Raw genomic sequence first — 19,478 nt, 5'->3', positions numbered from 1 at the left:
GTCTGCTTGTTTTCCATACCTCTCTGGTAGGAGGCAAAGCGATCTGCTTGAAAATATGTCTGAAAGATAATCAGCAAATAATTTCAAATCTTGGAACTGTCATTATGAATTTACTGCCATTAGATTGTATTGAGGTCCCTGAAGTCATGGATAACCAGAAGGGGGAATTTGAAGATTCCATTTAATAAAAAGAAGTTGATACAAAGAAGCTAAGATATATAATAAAATTTCATAGTTGGAAGAGAACATGATGCTTCTGTATTCCAATTACTGATTATACCTTTTGTTCAAAGTCTTTTAAATCTGAGCTCTTTGGCAATCCCATTTCAGCCGCTTTGGTCTCATTAGGTACCATCCTTTCTCCCTCAGAATTAATTTTCACTTCTGGAATCAGAATGTCATTCTTAAGGGTCTCCCTTATTAGTACCTTTAGGACCAAGTTCAAACTACCTAGCAGGACATAACAGGCCCTTCACAATATAACTCCATTCTATTATTTTGACCTCTTCTCTCCAACCTCCTTTATGCACTAGCCACAGTAAGTGTCTGCTATTCACACTTCAGCACATATGTCTCTATGCTTTCATGCCTCTGTAGAAGTTGTGCCTTCTGCCTGCAACGCCTCTCACCTCCACACTCACCACAATTGCACCCTCCTTCACTTCCTTTCCATCCTTTGAACTCTTGCCTATGATCCTTTTGTAGTTCATAAGCATGATGATTGAGTGTTCATACACATGTGTGAGGTATGTCGCCCCCAAACCTTTTATGACATTGGCACATTACCTGTCTGACATGAAAGAAAAATAATAATAAAAATTTTAAAAATGGGCAGCCAGGCGCCATGGCTCACGCCTGTAATCCCAGCACTTTGGGAGGCCGAGGCGGGCGGATCACGAGATCAGGAGATCGAGACCATCCTGGCTAACACAATGAAACACCGTCTCTACTAAAAATACAGAAAATTAGCCAGGCGTGGTGGCGGGCACCTGTAGTCCCAGCTACTCGGGAGGCTGAGGCAGGAGAATGGCGTGAACCTGGGAGGCAGAGCTTGCAGTGATCCAAGATAGCACCACTGCACTCCTGCCTGGGCAAAAGAGCAAGACTCCATCTCAAAAAAAAAAAAAAAAATTTAAAAAATGGGCTGTTACCTAGCCTTCAAGGATCAGCTCTGTCAGTTTCTCTGAGAAGCATTCTGACTTTCCCCCACCCCAAAATGATGTATTTGTTCTTCTAGAGCTATGCATCCAGCCATTGTTTCAACTAATATTTATTCCACGTGTACTGTGTATCTGTATATAAGAGGCAGTATAGCAGAGAAGTTAAGATGAGGAGCTCTCAAGCCAGACTCCCTTGGTGTGAATCTTGACCACTTACTAACTATAGCCTTGAGCAAGTTATTTGACCTGTCTGCCCAGGGTTTTCCTCACTTATAAGACAGGGATTATAACCATTATCTATCTCATAGGGTTGTCATGAAGATTAAATGTCATGAATATTATCCATAGAAAGCGTGGATGAACATTAATTGTTGTCATTATTCAACATCAAAGTAAGCTCCAGGTGGGAAGGGAGATTTTGCTCCCTCATATAGACAGACCCAAGGACCTAGATAAGTGCATGGTATGTAGTATGTTCTTTAAACACATGTCTAATGCATGAATCAATGAATGAATCAACCTATGAATTGGCTAGGCACTCTCCTAATCTCAGGGTAAGTAGCCTTGAATAAGATACACAGAAACAAGGAAACATATTTTCACACAATGTGTACATGCTGTGAAGGGTGTACATCGGAGAAATAGGTTAGAGACTCCAGATGAATGAGCAGTATTAAGTGAGGTGAGTAGAGCCATGCTAAGAACGCTTGGGAGGATTTCAGCAAAGGGAACAGCAAGGCCTTGGGCCCTGAGTGGAGAACAAGTTGGCTACTATAGACCTTCCCCAACTGCCACAAAAGGGCTCTTTGAATGTCTGTCTTCCCCACTAGACTGTAACCATTTTAAAAGAGGGATTTCATCTTATAACTCCTTATAAACACAGTGTCTGGCTAATAATTGGGCATATCATAAATATTTGTTGATTAACAAAGGAATCCTCTTAAGAAAGCACCTTCCTGTTTGGAAATGCAGGAAAGCCCCTCTCCTGCCTGTCTGCTCTCTTTCCTCCTGGCATCTTCTGCCTTCCTAAAGTCTAGGCCAGGGAATTCATCTGACATTGATTTGCCTTCCTTTCTGTCATCAGCAATCCTGAACTCTAATATTGGATGGTAACTTTTCCCCCCAAATCCCAACATTTCCATATCCCCTTGCCGAGTAAAATTAGGTCCAGAGCTATAGAAACTGTTCTGTAAGTGGAAAATGCTTCAGTATAGATTTTGATTTTCAGGTACTCATTTTATTTGATGAGTTTTAAACCTCCATTCTTTGAGAAGCTCATTTTAGATTCATTAGACTCATTTTTTATGTTGATAATATATCATTTAAATGTCCATGTTCTACTATCCTTCAGTAAATGTATGAACTTCATTGAAAGTTGAAACAAAGGGGTTTCAAATTAAATGAAGTTGTTAATTGTCTGGTTTATCTTGGGGGAGTGCAAGTCAGTGTAATACTTCACTAAACTAACACAGTAGTACCATGAGGACTGTCAGAGAGCCAGAGGAGGGGACCCAGGTTTGTGGAGGAAAAGCCAAGAATCACTTAGTGGAAGAATGATGTCCTGACTGAGACAGGGATAAGAAGGAATTGGGTGGAGAAGAGCTAGCATAGAGGTTGTGGTAGAGTTAGAAGGGAGATGAGAAGAAAACACTGTATATATACAATAGAATACTATTCAGCCTTTAAAAAGAAGGAAACTTTGTCATTGCCACAACATGAGGGGACCTGGAAGGCATTATATTAAGTGAAAAAAAAGCCAAGCACAGAATGACAAATGCTATGTGATCTCACTTATATGTGGAATCTAAAAAAAGTCAAACTCATAGAAGCAGAAAATAGAACAGCAGTTACCAGAGATGGGGTTGGGAGGAGGGGACAGGATTGGCAAGATGTTGGTCAAAGGACACACAAGTTTGGTTAGAGAGGAGACATAAGCTCAAGAGATCTATTGTCCCTCATGATGACTATAATTAATAACAATATATTATATACCTGAAAATTGCCAGCCTGGGCAACATAGTGAGACCTCGTCTCTATAAAAAAAATAAAAAAATTAGCTGGGTGTGGTGGCACACACCTGTAGTCCCAGCTACTTGGTAGGCTGAGGCGGGAGGATTACTTGAGCCCAGGAGGTCAAATCTGCAGTGAGCCATGATCATACCACTGCACTCCAGCCTGGGTAACAGGGCAAGACCCTGCCTCAAAAAAAAAAAAAAAAGAAAAGAAAAAAAAAAAAGAAAAGTTCTAAGATCATAGACTTTAAATGTTGTTACCACACACACAAAAAAGTGTATGAGGTAATGCATATGTTAAATAGCCTGATTTAGCCATTCCAAAATGTCTACATGCATCAGAACATCATGTTGTATACCATATATATACAATTTTCAGTTATCAGTTAAAACAATTTTTTAAGAGAAAGGAGATAACCAGAGCATAGCCAGCAGAAGGACTCGCATGAGGTTTGGTGGGACTGCCTAGGGAGAAGGAGGCAGCTGGCTGCGTGACAGAGCCCAGTGATAGGGGAGGGCCTGTGACCCCTTAAGGAGCTGAGACGCTGTCACAGAGCAATGGGAGCGCTGAGTGATGGAGCTGGATTTGTGCTTTTAGAAAAGCTTTGTTGGCTGCTGTTGGGAGAATGGATTGGAAGGGGGTGAGACTGCAGTCAGAGACTCCCATAAGGAAGCTGTTACTGTAATCACAACAACAGATGCCTACACTCCTTCCCAAGACTTCCCTCTCTGATCTTAGAAGCATTGTCAAATCTGGGTTCCCAGCCTGCCATGGCAAGCTGCTTGCTACTTGGGAGTGAAAAGCCCTTGTGGAGCTTTTTCTTATTCGGTGACTGCTCATAAAGTGCCTTCACCTCGCTTGCCTTATTAGCCAGTCCTGCCTCCAAATTACCACCACTTGCTCCTTTCAGGAGTCTCTTCCCCCTAAAGTCCCTATTACTCCTTCTCTCTGCTTTCAGATCAGAAACAGAAAAAGTCACCTTCCCTAAGAGTCTGCTCCAGTCCAGTAGAAATGCTTTAAAATTTTTCTGGCCTCAGCTGCCCTTCTTGAGCACAGAAATTTCTAGAATATTGAATGAATCACTGGTTCTTTATAATCATTTTGTCCAGTTTCAATCACTGCATTTTAGGAAAGATTTGAAAAACTGAAGGACAAAGTGGGGCCTTAGAGGACTTAGGATTCTTTCAGAGGAAAGTAATCTAAAGAACAAGTTAATGTTTCTTCATCGTTTGGGAATTAGTTATTAAATGGAAGATGCCTGAAAAATTATTCTCTTAATACAGTTCTTCAGGAGGACAGCATTAAAAGGCCTGGAATTAAATAGCCACAAGGCACATTTAGATGACACAGCAGGAAGAACTTTCCAGTAAAAACTATTGAATAGGATACCGTGTTCAGGCAGAAGTCAGGAGACTCTCTTTAGGAGAGCTGAGAAATAACTTGAGGGGGAGGGGCCACATCTGGGGGAGGATTTTATAATTTTTAAATCTCTTAAACTATACAGCTTTGAGATGGAATGATTAAGCTGAGCAGGCATTTGTTAACATCCTGAAATACGATTTCCATCCTGTCCCTAGAGCCTGCCCTCGGGGTCCACTGTAGACTGGCCTTCTAGAAGAAACCGCCTTATAAGGCTCTCTTGGATAGTTCAGTGACAGAACACCCTTGGATGGAGTCCAAGGCCAGCTAGCCTTCACTGATTCAAAATTCCTCCCTACAGTGGATGAGATTATGATGCTTCCTTTACCTCAAGCCACCCCTACCCCACAAACAATCTGACCTCATCTGTGTTTTTCATTGTTAGACAAATAACATCTTGTTTTTAGCAGCTGGGGAACCCTGAATTATCGTCAAAAAAATTTTTAAGCCAGGGAATATGAGTGTAACCTTTATTTGAAATTTAGGAGTGGCACAATTAGAAAGCTTTGAAATGGAAGGAGACTTAGGTATATGTGAATTAATAAGCCCACTTATTTAAGGTAATTTCAAAGATTTCCCAGTGAGTCTTTTACTCTTATGTGGGGATAGCAGTGGAGGACTAGAAATGTTCAAGGGAAGCTTCCCCCAGCCTGTCATATATGGCTTTTCCAGGTCAATCAAGACCGTCTCCTCCACCAGGCCTCTGAGAGAAAATGAGATCAGAAGAAAAAAGCCAGGATGATAATGGGGGGAGGGGGGGAAACGTTTACTTATTTATTTTTTTTACTTAAAATTGATTGTGTTAAATAGTTGACCTCTGTTTTATCCCAAGTTGGATTAATGGCAAAATGATATGGCCCTTTTGAAAAAGCTAATGTGTTGAATTGCCTTTACTGTTTTACAGAGGAGAGCAGTCAAAGTTAATTAGAAACAGCTGGAGCTAACAGTAAGCCTCACCCCCATCAATGTCCCTACCAGGAGAGGGTTACCAGGGAGAGGAGCAGTCCCGGGAATCCAGGGAGGGGCCTCTGGTCCCAAAAGCAGGCCAGAGTTGCAGAGAAGTTTTGTGTCTGAAAAATAAGAAAGGTTCATTTCAGGTGAAACAGACCTAGGAACCCTGTGTTGACAAAGCCCCATTCATATGATATGAAGTTCCCACAGTAAAGAGCACTGACAAGGCCAAGGCCAACCCGACAGGTTCAAAGCAGGCTTGGCCACTGTGAAAAAACAACCCCCTCAAAACTTCAGGAGAATGTATATAATAAATGAAGGTACAATTTCATACCTTCACAGGATTATTGAGAAGGTCAAATTACATAACAGATATGAAAGCACTGTGTAAACTATGCGGACTATGCTGCACCAAATAACTGTAAAGAATTATTAACTAGACTGTAAATGCCTTGAGGGCAAGGAATGCATCTGCAACGGGTATTTGTGAAGTACTTGACAGTTTGCTAAGGACTTCTGTGGATTTTCCTCATATGCTACTCATAACAACCCTGGAAGGTAAGGGGAATTGTTATCCCAAATTCCAAATAAAGACACTGCAGGTCAGACATCACACAGGTGGTAAATAGCAATTCTGGTACTTACTTTAGATATTCTGCTACAGGCTTGCTATTCAAAGTGTGGTATGTAGACCAGCAACATTGACTCTCTGTGCTATCTTTCTTTTTTATAAACTCGGAATTATTTCAAAATAAGAAGTTTCTAACAAAAGAGATTCAGAAGAGTCAAACCCTTGGGTGTGAAAAAGTTTTAGGAAGACTTTCCTGAATTTATTTTGCCTATATTTTGTTTCTGTTGAATGAGCAAGGGGGTTATATGATATATTTGTGTCTAAATACATCTAAAAGAGCTCTTTCATTCGCATAAAATAAACATGCTGTATGATAACAAAGTTTATGTCAGAGTTGAGATGGCTCTTTATGGTACATATATGCTGTGCCTTCTAAAAAATGTCATATTATATTCAGTGAAAGATGATGTTTCTTAAAATGAATGAATGTCTCTGAGGTGGCTAACATTAGTCCTTCTATAGCCAGATTAGCAATCTTAGAGCCTGGTCAGGCACAGTGGCTCTTGTTTGTAATCCCAGTACTTTGGGAGGCCAAGGTGGGAGGATCTCTTGAGCTCAGGAGTTCAGGACCAGCCTGGGCAACATAGTGAGATCTCATCTCTACTAAAAATAAAAATGAAATTGTTAATTGGCCAGGCACAGTGGGAAGCACCTGTAGTCCCAGCTACTCAGGAGGCTAAAGTGAGAGGGTCGCTCTAGCACAGTCATCAAGGCTGCAGGAGGCTATGATGGAGCCACTGCACTCCAGCCTAGATGACAAGGTGAGACGCTGTCTCAAAAAAAAAAAAAAAAAGAAAGAAAAGAAAAAGAAATAAGAAACGTAGAGCCTGGCAGGGCACAGTGGCTCATGCCTATAATCTCAGTGCTTTGGGAGGCTGATGCAGAGGATCCCTTGAGACCGGGAGTTCAAGACCAACCCTGGCAACATAGTGTGAGACCCTATCTCTACCAAAAAAAGAATTACAAAATTAGCTTGGCTTGGTTGTGTGCCTGTAGTCCTAGCTACTTGGGAGGCTGAGGTGTGAGGATCACTTTCAGCCCAGGAGGTCAAGGCTGCAGTCAGCTATGATTGTGCCACTGCACTCCAGCCTGGATGACAGAAGGAGACCCTGTCTCAAAAAATAGGAAAACCTTAGAGCCCAACCTTTCAGTTGCAATCCAGAGGTTCTTGAAGGATCAGCGAGTGTGCTAGGGCTGCTGGCATGAATATTAGTCCAAGAAAGACCTCTTGGAGCATAATGTTTGCGTGTGCTGTTTGATCATTTTCCAGGTCTTTCTAGTAACTCTGAGTAGGCTAGAGGAAAAGAATCACTAAGGTAACTGTCAACATGCTCAAGTATTTGCTTTCACCTGAGGTTTAACCCTGAATGTTGACCTTAACCCCTGACTCCAGCACTGTCCCATCATCAATTTTCCCAGTTTGAGTAATAATATTTAGTCCATATCTAAGCTATGGTCTAAGGAATTTGCATTTTTTTAAATTGAAGCATGTTTTTGTCAGCTAAGTGACAACTTGCAGAAGGAAAATTCATGCAGGGGTTTGAGAACTCAATTAAGCATAATCCATTTAGACTTTTTGAGGGAGAAGAAAAAAGAGGGCTTTCATATTCTTACAGGCAGAAAGGCAGCTGACTCCAATCATCCTGTTCTTTCATGTTGTTTTTCTTGAAGGGAAGTCTCCAGCTTCTACAGAGGTTTGTCTTTTTCTCTGAGTGAGAAATGCTCAAAGGCATTTTCATTTACATCACCACAGATTAGTGTGCAAGTGTTCAAGTGGTTGAATTGGGAAAGCTTTAGATCTGACATCTGTTCTGCTCTCTTCTGGCCTGACCCCAAGCAAGAAAGAAAAATTTATCAAGAAATAGATCTCCTGGAACATTCAGAAGGTTTTGAAAGAGACCACACAGAAATGAGGCTTCAAGAATTTTTTAGGGTAGCCCAAGCCTGCAGGATTCAGAGCCTGTTCCTTCTCCATGGGAGCTTTCAGAACTTTCTGCTCCAGGAACAGAACTCCAAAAGTGAATTTCAATAGCAGATGCAGCAATTACACTGCACCCCTGGCTTCCAAAGGACCCCCCTCAGGAAGCCATAGAGCGTTTGATGGAGAATGAAATGCTTGTGCAGCAGTGCTCTCTGAGTGAGAGAAGGGGAGATGAGAGTCCCATGCAGTGTGGCTGCTTAGTAGAAATGCTCAGCTCAGTGGGAAAGGGCAGGCTGGGGCAGAGATCAAGACGCTGCCAGATATTTGACAGGCCAGGGCTTCGGAGCCAGAGGCCCCTCTCTGCTCTGTTGTGTCTCAGATCAGAGCCTCAGAGCAGGACGGAAAAGTTGATCTGACTTGACTCTTTCTGCACTGCTGGGCCTTTGGTTCACTAGAAAATAACTGGCAGGGCAGGGCAGGCCTGTTCTGGACCCAGTTGCAGTGTGGCAAAGTGAGCAGCTCGTGCCCCTTTCCCACCTCTCCATGTCCTCTCATCTGAGGCCTCTTTCTTCTCACCCATTCAGCCTGGCCTGTTACTGCATGCTGCCCCTTTCTCTTGTCTGACTGAACTCAAAGAAGTGAGATTTTCTTTTCTTCACCCACCAACCCTTTCTTAGTTACAGAGCTTGGCCAGTAACTTTATAAATGGTGAGTCCTGCTCGGTCCACTCCTCCTAACTCCGTCCCCAGATTTATGAGCCACCTGACGTTCTCCCAAGAGAGAGCGAATAAGCAAAAACTTGGTATGCCACCTCTGAAAGGCAGCCAGCTCAGTCCATGTCATCCAGGAGAGATGGTCAGCCCTTTTGTTCTTGACACTCCATTGGGATGAAGTTTTTCACATGTCTTAGGATCATAATCCACACCATATATCAGCCCCAAGCCTATCTCCCTTTTTAGGACAAGCCCAAGGGGTAGGAGAGAGAGCTGTAACCCCATGGTTGTGACTGTGGGTTTGACAGGTCTCCAGTGCTCACCCAGGGCTGTCCCTACCAGTTACTTTCAACTCTTAGTGCCGGGTCACCCAGAAGCCAAGATTGGCTGGTGTACGAGGGGAAATAAAGCAGAGTGGTTAAGGAGATGAACTTTGGAGTCAGACCACCTGGGTCAAATCCCCACTCTGCCACTTAACTATTTGTGTGACCCTAACCTCCTTCATTCATGATTTTTTTTTACCTGCAAGACAGGTATAATAACGATGTTATTATACTTAGAGTTTTGTGAAGTTAAGTGAGGCAATACATGAAAAACATTGGTACCTGGTATGTAGTAGGATTTCACTAAATGCTGTTTCGTTTCCATGTTTATTGTTATTAGCATTATAGAACTGAGTATGAATTAATATATTAGTGCCTTGCTGATGTCCTACTTTGACCAGTCCAAACACAATACTGCCTCATGTGTTCCCAGGTTAGATCTGAAACCTATGTTCAGACCTGCGTAAACAAAATAACAGGGTAGTTTTCTTAAAAAGAAAATTCGTGGAAACTTCCATCTTGCTCTGCAGAGATTCTAGAACAGGGAGTTCTGCCCATCTCTTGGAAGATCCCAGAGTCCAAATGCAGACAGTCTAATGGGAACCACCCAGGATGCTGGCCAGAGGACATGCTTTGCTTTGCAGCATAAAATATTTCCATCTTCAAGCTCATTGTCACTCACATTATTTTTAATAGCACCTTTTAGATATAGAATCATTTTGAATTCAGAGGTCACTCACATTTAGTAATCACTGGACTCTCTCCTCCCTGGATATTCTACCAGTATTTTATACATAGGAAATATTCAATAATTTTTGTTGGATGGTTCATGGGGGAAAAAATTGAAGTACTGGCCCCAAAGAGAATATGAACCAAAATCACAGAGTTTGGCAGAAAAAGAGCACAATTAATGCCCATTATGTACATATTGAGTATTATCTTTGGCTTTTAGAGTCTTATTGGCGGAAATAATAAAGTTATTGCTGTAATTCATGTGTCTCTTCTTTGGCTTATACATGTAGCCTTAGCTTAGCAGGAACTCATTTTTTAAAAATCATTTAAAAATCAAAACATTCAACTATAAACAGATGTATTTCGACTCAGAAAGTGCCCACTTAGGTTGATTCATTGCATCTGTCTGAGAGGTGATAATGTCCACCTTCCAGGGTGTGTTGACGAGTAAAGAAATGAAGGTATGAAGAAGAGGTTTAAGAAGCTGGATAACTTTTCAGATCCACCATCGCCAGCAATCTTGAGTGAAATTGGCAGAACATTGGGACTACTGACTCACCATATACTATGCACTCTATCACCTTCTAAAGCAGTGGTTCTTCACCTTGGCTGTACATCAGAATCACCTGGGGAGCTTTACAGAATGCTGATGCCTGAGTTCCACTCCAAGATTCTCATTTAATTGGTTTGGATGTGACCTGGGCAGCAGGACTTTTTAAAACTTTCCAGATGACTTAATGTCCAGCCCCAGTTCAGAACTATTGTTCTAAAAAGACTTCAAGTCACTTTTTGGGATGCTTCATTCCTTTGGGATAATCATAATAATAATAGGCCAGTTTTTGCTCAGTTTATCCAGCATCTAGTGTTTTGCAACGGGGGACTTTGAGAAGATCTAGTGTGCCATGGGAAGTGTAAGCCCTAGAAAACATGATCACCCAATGTAGTGCAGGCAGCATAAATGGTTTGGCTACTTCTTATCTTTTTGGCTATTTCAGAGCTCTTATTTGAATCAGACAGAACGGAAATATGTCAGTTTTGTTGGTATTTTAAAAATGTATCCCAAAACACTCAGAAAAGTATTCACCTAAAGCCACATGATCCAATCTTTCTATTATTTCACTAGAACATACGCTCCATTAGCCCAGTGCTTTTTATCTATTTGTTCACTACTGAATCTCCAATGTCTAAACCGTCCTTGGGATACGGTAGGCACTTAATAGATTCTTGTTGCAAAATGAATGCATAATTAAGAGTGGATTTATTATGTGCCCTGTTGGAAAGGGGAACCTTCACACTGATGGAAGCCCACCTCTGTCATCTATCTGGAATCTCTGATAGGGAGAGGCGGCTCTGCTCAGCTTATTGGTCCCCCAGCTTAGGGGAGTATCTCTTGTCACTTGGCTGAGGCCTTTCCGATGGGCATCTTCTCAAATTATCCCTTATAGTTACTCTCTATTGTCACAAAATCTCTGAGACTGACAGCAGTGTTCCGTTCCATTTTATCATCTCCCCTCTAATCATTTCCCAGGCAATGGGTATGGGGATTGTGCAGCCTTGAGAAATCTACTTAACCTCTCTGAGCATCAGTTTTCTCATCTGTAAAGTGAAGATACTACCGACCTCACAAGGCGGTTGTGAGAGTTACATGACTTAATGTATTTTAAGTTCTTAGCACAGTGTTTGGCCCACAATTGGCCTTTAATAAAGGTTAATCTTAGTCTACCTTGCCCTTCAGTTAAACAGTAGCAGAGGAAGGCATAAGTACAATACATTCTCATTATTCACTGAAGTTTTGTTCTAGTAAGTCACCACAAGCACTGAATTAGCAAATACTGAACCACTGCTTCTGGGAGCAATTCAGTTAGGTTCCTGCAAGCCTCCAATCACATTTTTATCAACTGATCAATATGTCATTTTGTTTTATGTGTGATTCTGTTTAAAGGCACGTTATTTAATATAAATTACGATTCATTAACATTGAACTCATGGCCAACAGCAAGCACTGCAGCTCAAGCCAGAATGAAGCTTGTCTAACACCCGTATTTTCCATAAGGCATATCACAGCCTGCTTGCTCATAAGGAATGACTAGACAGCACTTCAGCACAAAGTTTGGGGCCATTTTAGACAGCTGAGTCACCATCAGAAAGCACAAAAATACAAAAAGAAGTGGCACCACACAGACTGTAGGAGGGGTGCTTGTTTGATAGTGTGACAGCTGAAACTAGAAGCCAGAGTGGTGCCTTGTTCCACCTCAGTGGGGACCCCGTGACTCAAATGTTTGCTGCTCTGTGCATGTCTGCAAATGATTTGATTTGGGGGAGGCAATTACACTTTAGCAAGTAGGTGAATTTGCAAATATGGCATCCACAAATAGTGAGGATTGACAGTGTTTGGAAATGGTCAAGGGTTCAGCAACAAGCATTAGAGAACTACCAAGGATTCCGAGGGCAGAACCCAAGTGTGGGTGACGCTTCCTTTATATGCCTCAAAGCATAAAACGTCATTCAGGGCACAGAGCAGTATTTAGGAAATAATTCTTGGATGACTCTTGATGCAGTTTAACAAACACGTAAACTAGCCTTGTTTTGACTATCCCATGATGAGCCTGTTTTTGCCCTGCACCCTCCTACAAGATGTTAGTGAGAAGTGTAGAGTTCATTAAGTTTTCATAGGAGTGGCAGGAAGGTTTTGTGGGAGGCTTCTCCTCCCATTTCTCTGCACAGCCTTCCCACCAGCTACAGAGCATCCCACGTGGCCCTTACTTCACATGGAGCCACCCTCAAAGGCACTGTCCTGTCCACACCCTCCCCACAACCACGCCTGTCATCTCTCTCCCAGTTTCCACTTGGCAAGTAGGCTCTGTCCCTGGCTCTGTGGAGTGCACCCATCTTTTAGCTCAGGACACAAGGTTACTTGGATCCTCACTATCACTGAAAGTGGAAAATTATAATAATTCCATCACTCACATCCAGTGCCTGCTTTTTGTAAATGATGTGCTGGGTGCCAGATGGAAATTTGCCCCAGGAGAAAGACTGCCCCTGCTCTAAGGAGCTTAGAAACCTGCAGTCCATCCTGGTGGAAGAAAGAAGAGGGAGTTAGACTCAATATAAGAGAGTCCCTGTGTAAGCCAAGCCAATAAAATGCACAGGAACAAAGAATGCACACACACACCCCTCAACCCTTCATTTTTAATTATTGGAAGCATATTTTCTGGGCAATTTCTACTGGAAGGGGAAAAAATGAACAAAGGTACATTTACATCTGTGGCCTGTGAATACATTATAATTTGCAGACTCTATGAGCTTATACATAATGTAACTATGGCTAGAGGTGTGGTAGTACATAAATGAATTAGTTATTACTTTGCCCAAAGTGACATTCCAGAGTGCAGATGAGTGAATCTTATGTTTGCTTAGACTTGAGCTAAGGAGAGAATATTGATCCAAAAGAATCTTAAAGATTGTATTTAAATACCTTAGTAAATGCTAAGGAAAAAATATGCAGTAAATTCACTTCACTCTACCTAGCTCCCTGGCAAATGTGTAAAAAAAAAATTTAATAGGTGCAATGACCTATTGATGAGAATACTGTTTGGCAGTTAGTCTCTAACAATTGTCAGAAGTTTCACTTTTTGGACAAACCACAGTGGATTTTAAATTCTTTTTTTTTTTTTTTGAGACAGAGTCTTGCTCTGTTGCCCAGGCTGGAGTGCAGAGGTGTGATCTCCGCTCACTGCAACCTCTACCTCCCAGGTTCAAGCGATTCTCCCGCCTCAGCCTCCTGAGTAACTGGGACTACAGGTGCCTACCACCACACCCAGCTAATTTTGTATTTTTACTAGAGATAGGGTTTCACCATGTTGGCCAGGCTGATTTCAAACTCCTGACCTCAAGTGATCCGCCCGCCTCGGTCTCCCAAAGTGCTGGGATTATAGGCGTGAGCCACTGCGCCCAGCCTGGATTTTAAATTCTAAACTTACATATCCTTGTTAATTAAACTTTAGCTGCTGTGCAGCTTCAGTGTGTCCTGGGAATGTAAGCTAATTTCATTTTATTTTCACTAAAGATCTTTTTTGTTATTAAACACTAACAGTGGAAATTTGTAGAATTCATTGAAATCAAAGACAGTCATTGTTAATATTTTGTATTCCATTCTAGTTTTTTTCTAGGCTCATATGACATTATTTTGATCATACTAACCATATGTATTTATATCTTGTTTTTCATTTAGCAAGTAGGTGAATTTGCAAATGTGGAGTCCATATATTTGCAAATTTTAAATTTATAACTAATATTTTCCATGTACTTAAATATTTTATAAATTTTATTTATAAATCTATATTTGTAATAATTTGAATGAACCATAATTTACTCGTTTTTCTGTCATAAATAACCTTTTAATTCACATCTTTAGACACAAAGATCTTTCTTCTGAGTTATTTCTTTATAATAGATCCCAAATTGGAATTACCAATAAAATGATATGAAGATTTATATATATATATATAAATTTTTATGTATTGACATTAGTGATTCCAGCTTAACAGCCTCTTCTAAACAATTCAGACACATTATCTCCTAAAAACAAAAGCCCAAAAGCAAAACATTTCAATAATACAATAGAAATTACTTGTTAATTATCATTAGATTTGTATTGTGACTGCTCATCTTCAATGGCATAGAGACCATTGAGAGTTGTACCTGCATCCTAGTTTCTATTTATAAAATTTGCAGTTACTAGCCATAAAACCAGGGACCCTGCCTGTTACCTAGTTTGCATCTAATATTACCAGGAATCATGGTTTCTATCTCAGATCATGAAGAGTTATTCCAGCAAGAACAGAAAGGATATGTGTACTATAATAGTTTTCTTTTTTTAAGTTCAATTTGATCAATCAAATATTTCAAAATAACAGGGAGAAGGAAAGAATATTCCTTTGTACATAATTGAATTGAGGTTCATAAAAAGCATCCGCATTCTTACTAGAGCAGCTTGAAAATGTTTGTTGTAAGGGCAGCCACCCATCTGAGATGTAAACGGGAAAAACTTTGTGAAATTTGGAGGTTTTGTCTTTAAGATTTTTTTTCACAGAAGAAAAGAAAAGGTCTCTACTATTCTATTTGACTACAGTCAATGGCATACCTCCAGGTTGAATCTCAGCAGCTCTTTAAATGCAACTTCCCTGCATAATACTGAGACCATGATTTGACCGCTTGTTTCACTTCAGTTTCTGATATGTGCTGTTATTCTCCTCCTGTGAGGGACAGCCTGTTTCCTGCTCCACTTATTAAAACTAGAAAAGAATTTACTTACAACATTTTTACCACACGTGCCCTTGGAGCTCTCCTTGGGTCCTTAAGAGGGCTGGCAAAGCCTTGTTTCTCTTTTTCTCAAGCCCTTTAATCTCCAGCACATTCAGCAACAATTGTCCTTTGTAAGGCAGGTATTCCTGTTAATACAGTAAACAGTGCTGAGAATACATGTATAAAATGGAAAAGCTGCATGTGATTTTCAGGCAGAATTATTCCCGTATTCGACTGGGAGATAGGAACAGTAACAGCACAGTGCATTTTCTAAGAATTTTCACATATGTTCATATGCATATCACCTTTTTTAATCCTCACAATAACCCTGTGGTAAAGTATTATCCTCACATTGTATTAATAAATTAGGCAACCAAGATTCAGTGTGTTTGAGTGTCCAAGCAGAGCCACTGCTAATGGGAATTGAATGAAGCTGGAATGAGGAATCCAGGTGAGTTGGTGTGTACACGGACACACACACATGTACCCACATTTCAATCCAAAGGAAGCTAAAATTGAGTGTCAGAAGCAGTTAAACATAAATATGCTTCACTCACTCATTCATTCATTCATGGTTCTTCCATTCCTAATCTTGTATCTCCTACATTAAATTCCCTGCATAGTTAATACTCTGCATTTCCACAGTCTCCAGTTACTCTGGTCATTACCAGTATGTGGAAGTGCATATGCTTTTGCCTGTTTTGTTCAACCGTGTGTGTGTTTTTGAAGAAACACATCCAGAGACTCTAAGGCTTTGTTTTGGTAAATTAAAGCAACTTAAATTCCAGGTGTTGGCAGTGGCAGTTGTCTAACATAGCATGATAAAATTATCCCCCAGGTTCCTATATGCGTGGTTAATTACAGGTGATCCAACTCCCAAAGAATACACATGGCCTGGATCTCTGAGCTCTGCTGAATAAAATAACCAATGTATAATTTCATTTTCTGTGAAAAATGTTAACTAAACTAGAAAAGGTGATCAAATAAACTGTTGCTCTCACATGTTTTGTTTTGTTTTTTTGAGATGGAGTCTTGCTGTGTCACCTAGGCTGGAGTGTGCAATGGTGCAATCTCAGCTCACTGCCAACCTCTGCCTCCCGGGTTCAAGCAATTGTCCCACCTCAGCCTCCCAAGTAGCTAGGATTACAGGCGTGCACCACCACACCTGGCTATTTTTGTGTGTGTATGGGTATTTTTAGTAGAGACGGGGTTTCACCACATAGGCCAGGCTGGTCTCTAACTCCTGACTTCAAGTGATCTGCCCGCCTCAGCCTCCCAAAGTGCTAGGATTACAAGTGTGAGCCACCATGCCCTGCCTTCTCACATGTTTTCTAAAAATAAAACCTCTATCACTGAAGAGCATTAAGAACTTTGTGAGGAACAAATTAACTGTTCAGTCAGTTTGAATAAAATTGAGTGCTCTGGGGAGACTTTATTGTTGTTTGTGTGTGTGTTTCAACACTACAGAATAAGATGTGACTGTGACCCACTAAGTCCTTAAAAACAATAGGGTATATCATAAGAACTAGAAAGCCTAACTTCAGACACTGACAAGAAAGCAGGAAATACTACGTTTCTCATGGTAGCAAGACTCAGGAAATTCTTACGCAAACAAAGAGTGAAGGAACAGTTGACGGCAGTTTTCTGAATCAATCCCTCAACATATAAGGAGATGGTGGGATTTGGGGAAGAGGAAGAGAAGAATGATGACCAAGAAGGACAATAGCTGGTCTATTGGTAAAGAATGTGTTCAGCTGCAAGTAATAGAAAACTTGGCTCTAGTGGCTTGGCCAAAATGGGGTTTATTTGCTTGTAGAACAGGGAGTTTAGGTGTAGATGGTTTCTGGTGTGGCTTTAACCACTCAGCAGTGCTGTCAAGGACCAGGGTCCTTTCACTCTTTCTGCTCTATCATCCTTTGCATGTTGGCTTTTGTATACATGCTTAATAATTGCAAGAAGGCTTCTGCACCTCAGATCATCGTCATCATTAAAGACATTTAGAAGGAATAGAGAAAAGGACAATGCCAGCCACATGTCCCATTATATCAGGTGAGCAAATGTTTCCCAGAAGCCCATACTCAGCAAATTTCTGCCTAATCTCATTGGCCAGAAATGATCACTGGGACACCCTATTGTCAAAAGAGACAGAGAAGGGGGTGGTGGACACTGGGGCTGAGTCAGCCGGCTACATTGTCTGCCATAGCTGGGCAGCAGTTCTTTTTAGCTTTTCATTTCAGACACAGTTGCTGAAGGTGAATTCAAAGGGTGACTAGAAGCTTAGTGTTTTAGAGACCACAGACCCCATCAGACTTCACTGAAGTGTGAAATCAGATGATAAAATAGGTCATAGCTGGGGGGAAAAATGGAAAGCTTTGTAGCAAATATGTCTTTCCCAAAGTTCAGTGGAAAGAAGTCCTATCTGAAAGATGTCAAACCACATAGAGTCCATTTTGAAATGACATTTCACTCTTTCCTTCACAGAAATAATGGCTACCAGAATTGAGGGTTCCTGCCTGATTTAATTTAATATGTGGAAAGGGATAATTTTAAAATGAACTCAAAAACAGAAAAAGTTATAATTGTATATGGATAGATGCAGTAAAACTGCTTTAAAAAAGTCTACTTTCATTTTTATAAATTGTATAAACTTCAATTCATCCTCAGATCTAAGTAAGGTGAATTTCTAATTATTGTAGTGTTTTTAAGCTTATTTAAGTCATACATGTTATGGAGATTAATGTTTTGGAGAGGGTGGGGTTCAAATCCCCACTCCCCCACTTACTAAATGTGTGATTATTAAATGACAAGTTGCCTCTCTTTTTTTTTTTTTTTATTTTTTTGAGACAGAGTCTCACTCTGTTGCTCAGGCTGGAATGCAGTGGTGTGATCTCCACTCGCTGCCACCTCTGCCTCCCAGGTTTGAGCGATTCTCCTGCTTCAGCCTCCCAAGTAGCTAGGATTACAGGTGCCCAACACCACACCCAGCTAATTTTTGTATTTTTTTGGTAGAGATGGGGTTTCAGCACGTTGGCCAGGCTGGTCTCGAACTCCTGACCTCCAGATGATCCGCCTGCCTTGACCTCCCAAAATGCTGGGATTACAGACGTGAGCCACCGTGCCCAGCCAGCAAGTTGCTCCTCTTAACCTCAGTTTTGTCATCTTTAAAGTGGGGACAATATTGCTTACCCAAAGGGTTGGTGAGAGTATTAACTTCATATGAGGTTCTAAGCATAGTGCTTGCCACACAATAGGGTCTCAATCTGGCCGTTGCTTTTATCATTAGTAGTAGTGGCTAATGCTTCAGAAACAGCCCTCAAATGTCATACTATGGTACTTTTACCTTCATTCTTCCCTCTTTTTCTGGAGGGATAACTAGAGATGGGATGAAGGGTAGAAGCAGAAACTGAGAGTGGTAGGAATGATTGGATGGTATTATATGGAGAAAATGAGGGCTGTTCTTGCCCAAACTGGTCGGAACCTCAATATTTTTATATACTTACAATTTATAGCCTACCTTATTTTAACATTATATTTGTGGCAGTTTACATCACCATGCTTTTCAGATACAGCAATAGTGCTGTAAAAAGCACTAAACTGCCTGGGCATGGTGGCTCACACCTCTAATCCCGATACTTTGGGAGGCTGAGGCAGGAAGATCACTTGAGACTAGGAGTTCAAGACCAGTCTGGGCAACATAGTGAGACCCTGTCTCCACAAAACAAAACAAAACAAAAGATTAGCCAGGTGTGGTAGTGCATATCTGTAGTCCCAGCTACTCAGGAGGCTGAGGTAGGAGGATCACTTGAACCTAGGAATTTGAGGCTGCAGTGAGCCGTGATTGTGCCACTGCACTCCAGCCTGGGTGACAAAGCAAAGCCCTGTATCAAAATAAACATAAAGTACTAAACTTAGAAGAAAAGAGTCTGAATCCTCCTGCCTCAGCCTCCCAAAATGTTGGGATTACAGGCATAAGCCACCACACCTGGCCAAGCATCTGAATCCTGACTATACATTGACTAACAGTGATCATTGGCACATTGCTTAATCTCTTTGTCCCTCTGTTGTCTCACCTGTGAAATGGAGCAAGCAGGACCTGTATTAAAGGATTAGGGTTAGGGTTATGGAAATAAACGAAGTCACAGATTTGAAAGCCTTTGTAACTGTTAGGCCTTTATGAATCCAAGATTGTATTCCCTCTGACTTTACCAACTATTGTAGTAACAACTCTCAAATATGCCCAGTCAGTTAACTGATATAACCTTGCGTATAGCTGTGTCAGTTATTTACTTTTTTCCTATATACCTCTGGTCC

At 41.1% G+C, this 19,478-nt stretch overlaps 1 protein-coding gene and 1 non-coding gene across 3 annotated transcripts in view; both read left to right on the top strand.

The window, feature by feature from the left end:
* Nucleotides 1-19,478, top strand: part of IGFBP7 (insulin like growth factor binding protein 7) — a 79,613-nt gene that overhangs the window by 3,347 nt on the left and 56,788 nt on the right. The window lies entirely within an intron of this gene.
* LOC124900898 (small nucleolar RNA U13) lies at nucleotides 694-796 on the top strand. Its single transcript, XR_007058540.1, has one exon. It is a non-coding gene; the product is annotated as a small nucleolar RNA U13 (small nucleolar RNA).

Source organism: Homo sapiens, chromosome 4 (genome assembly GCF_000001405.40).
Source record: "Homo sapiens chromosome 4, GRCh38.p14 Primary Assembly".
NCBI lineage: Eukaryota > Metazoa > Chordata > Mammalia > Primates > Hominidae > Homo > Homo sapiens.
Note: the sequence above shows the minus strand (reverse complement) of the source record. Positions and strands in the feature narration are given on the sequence as shown.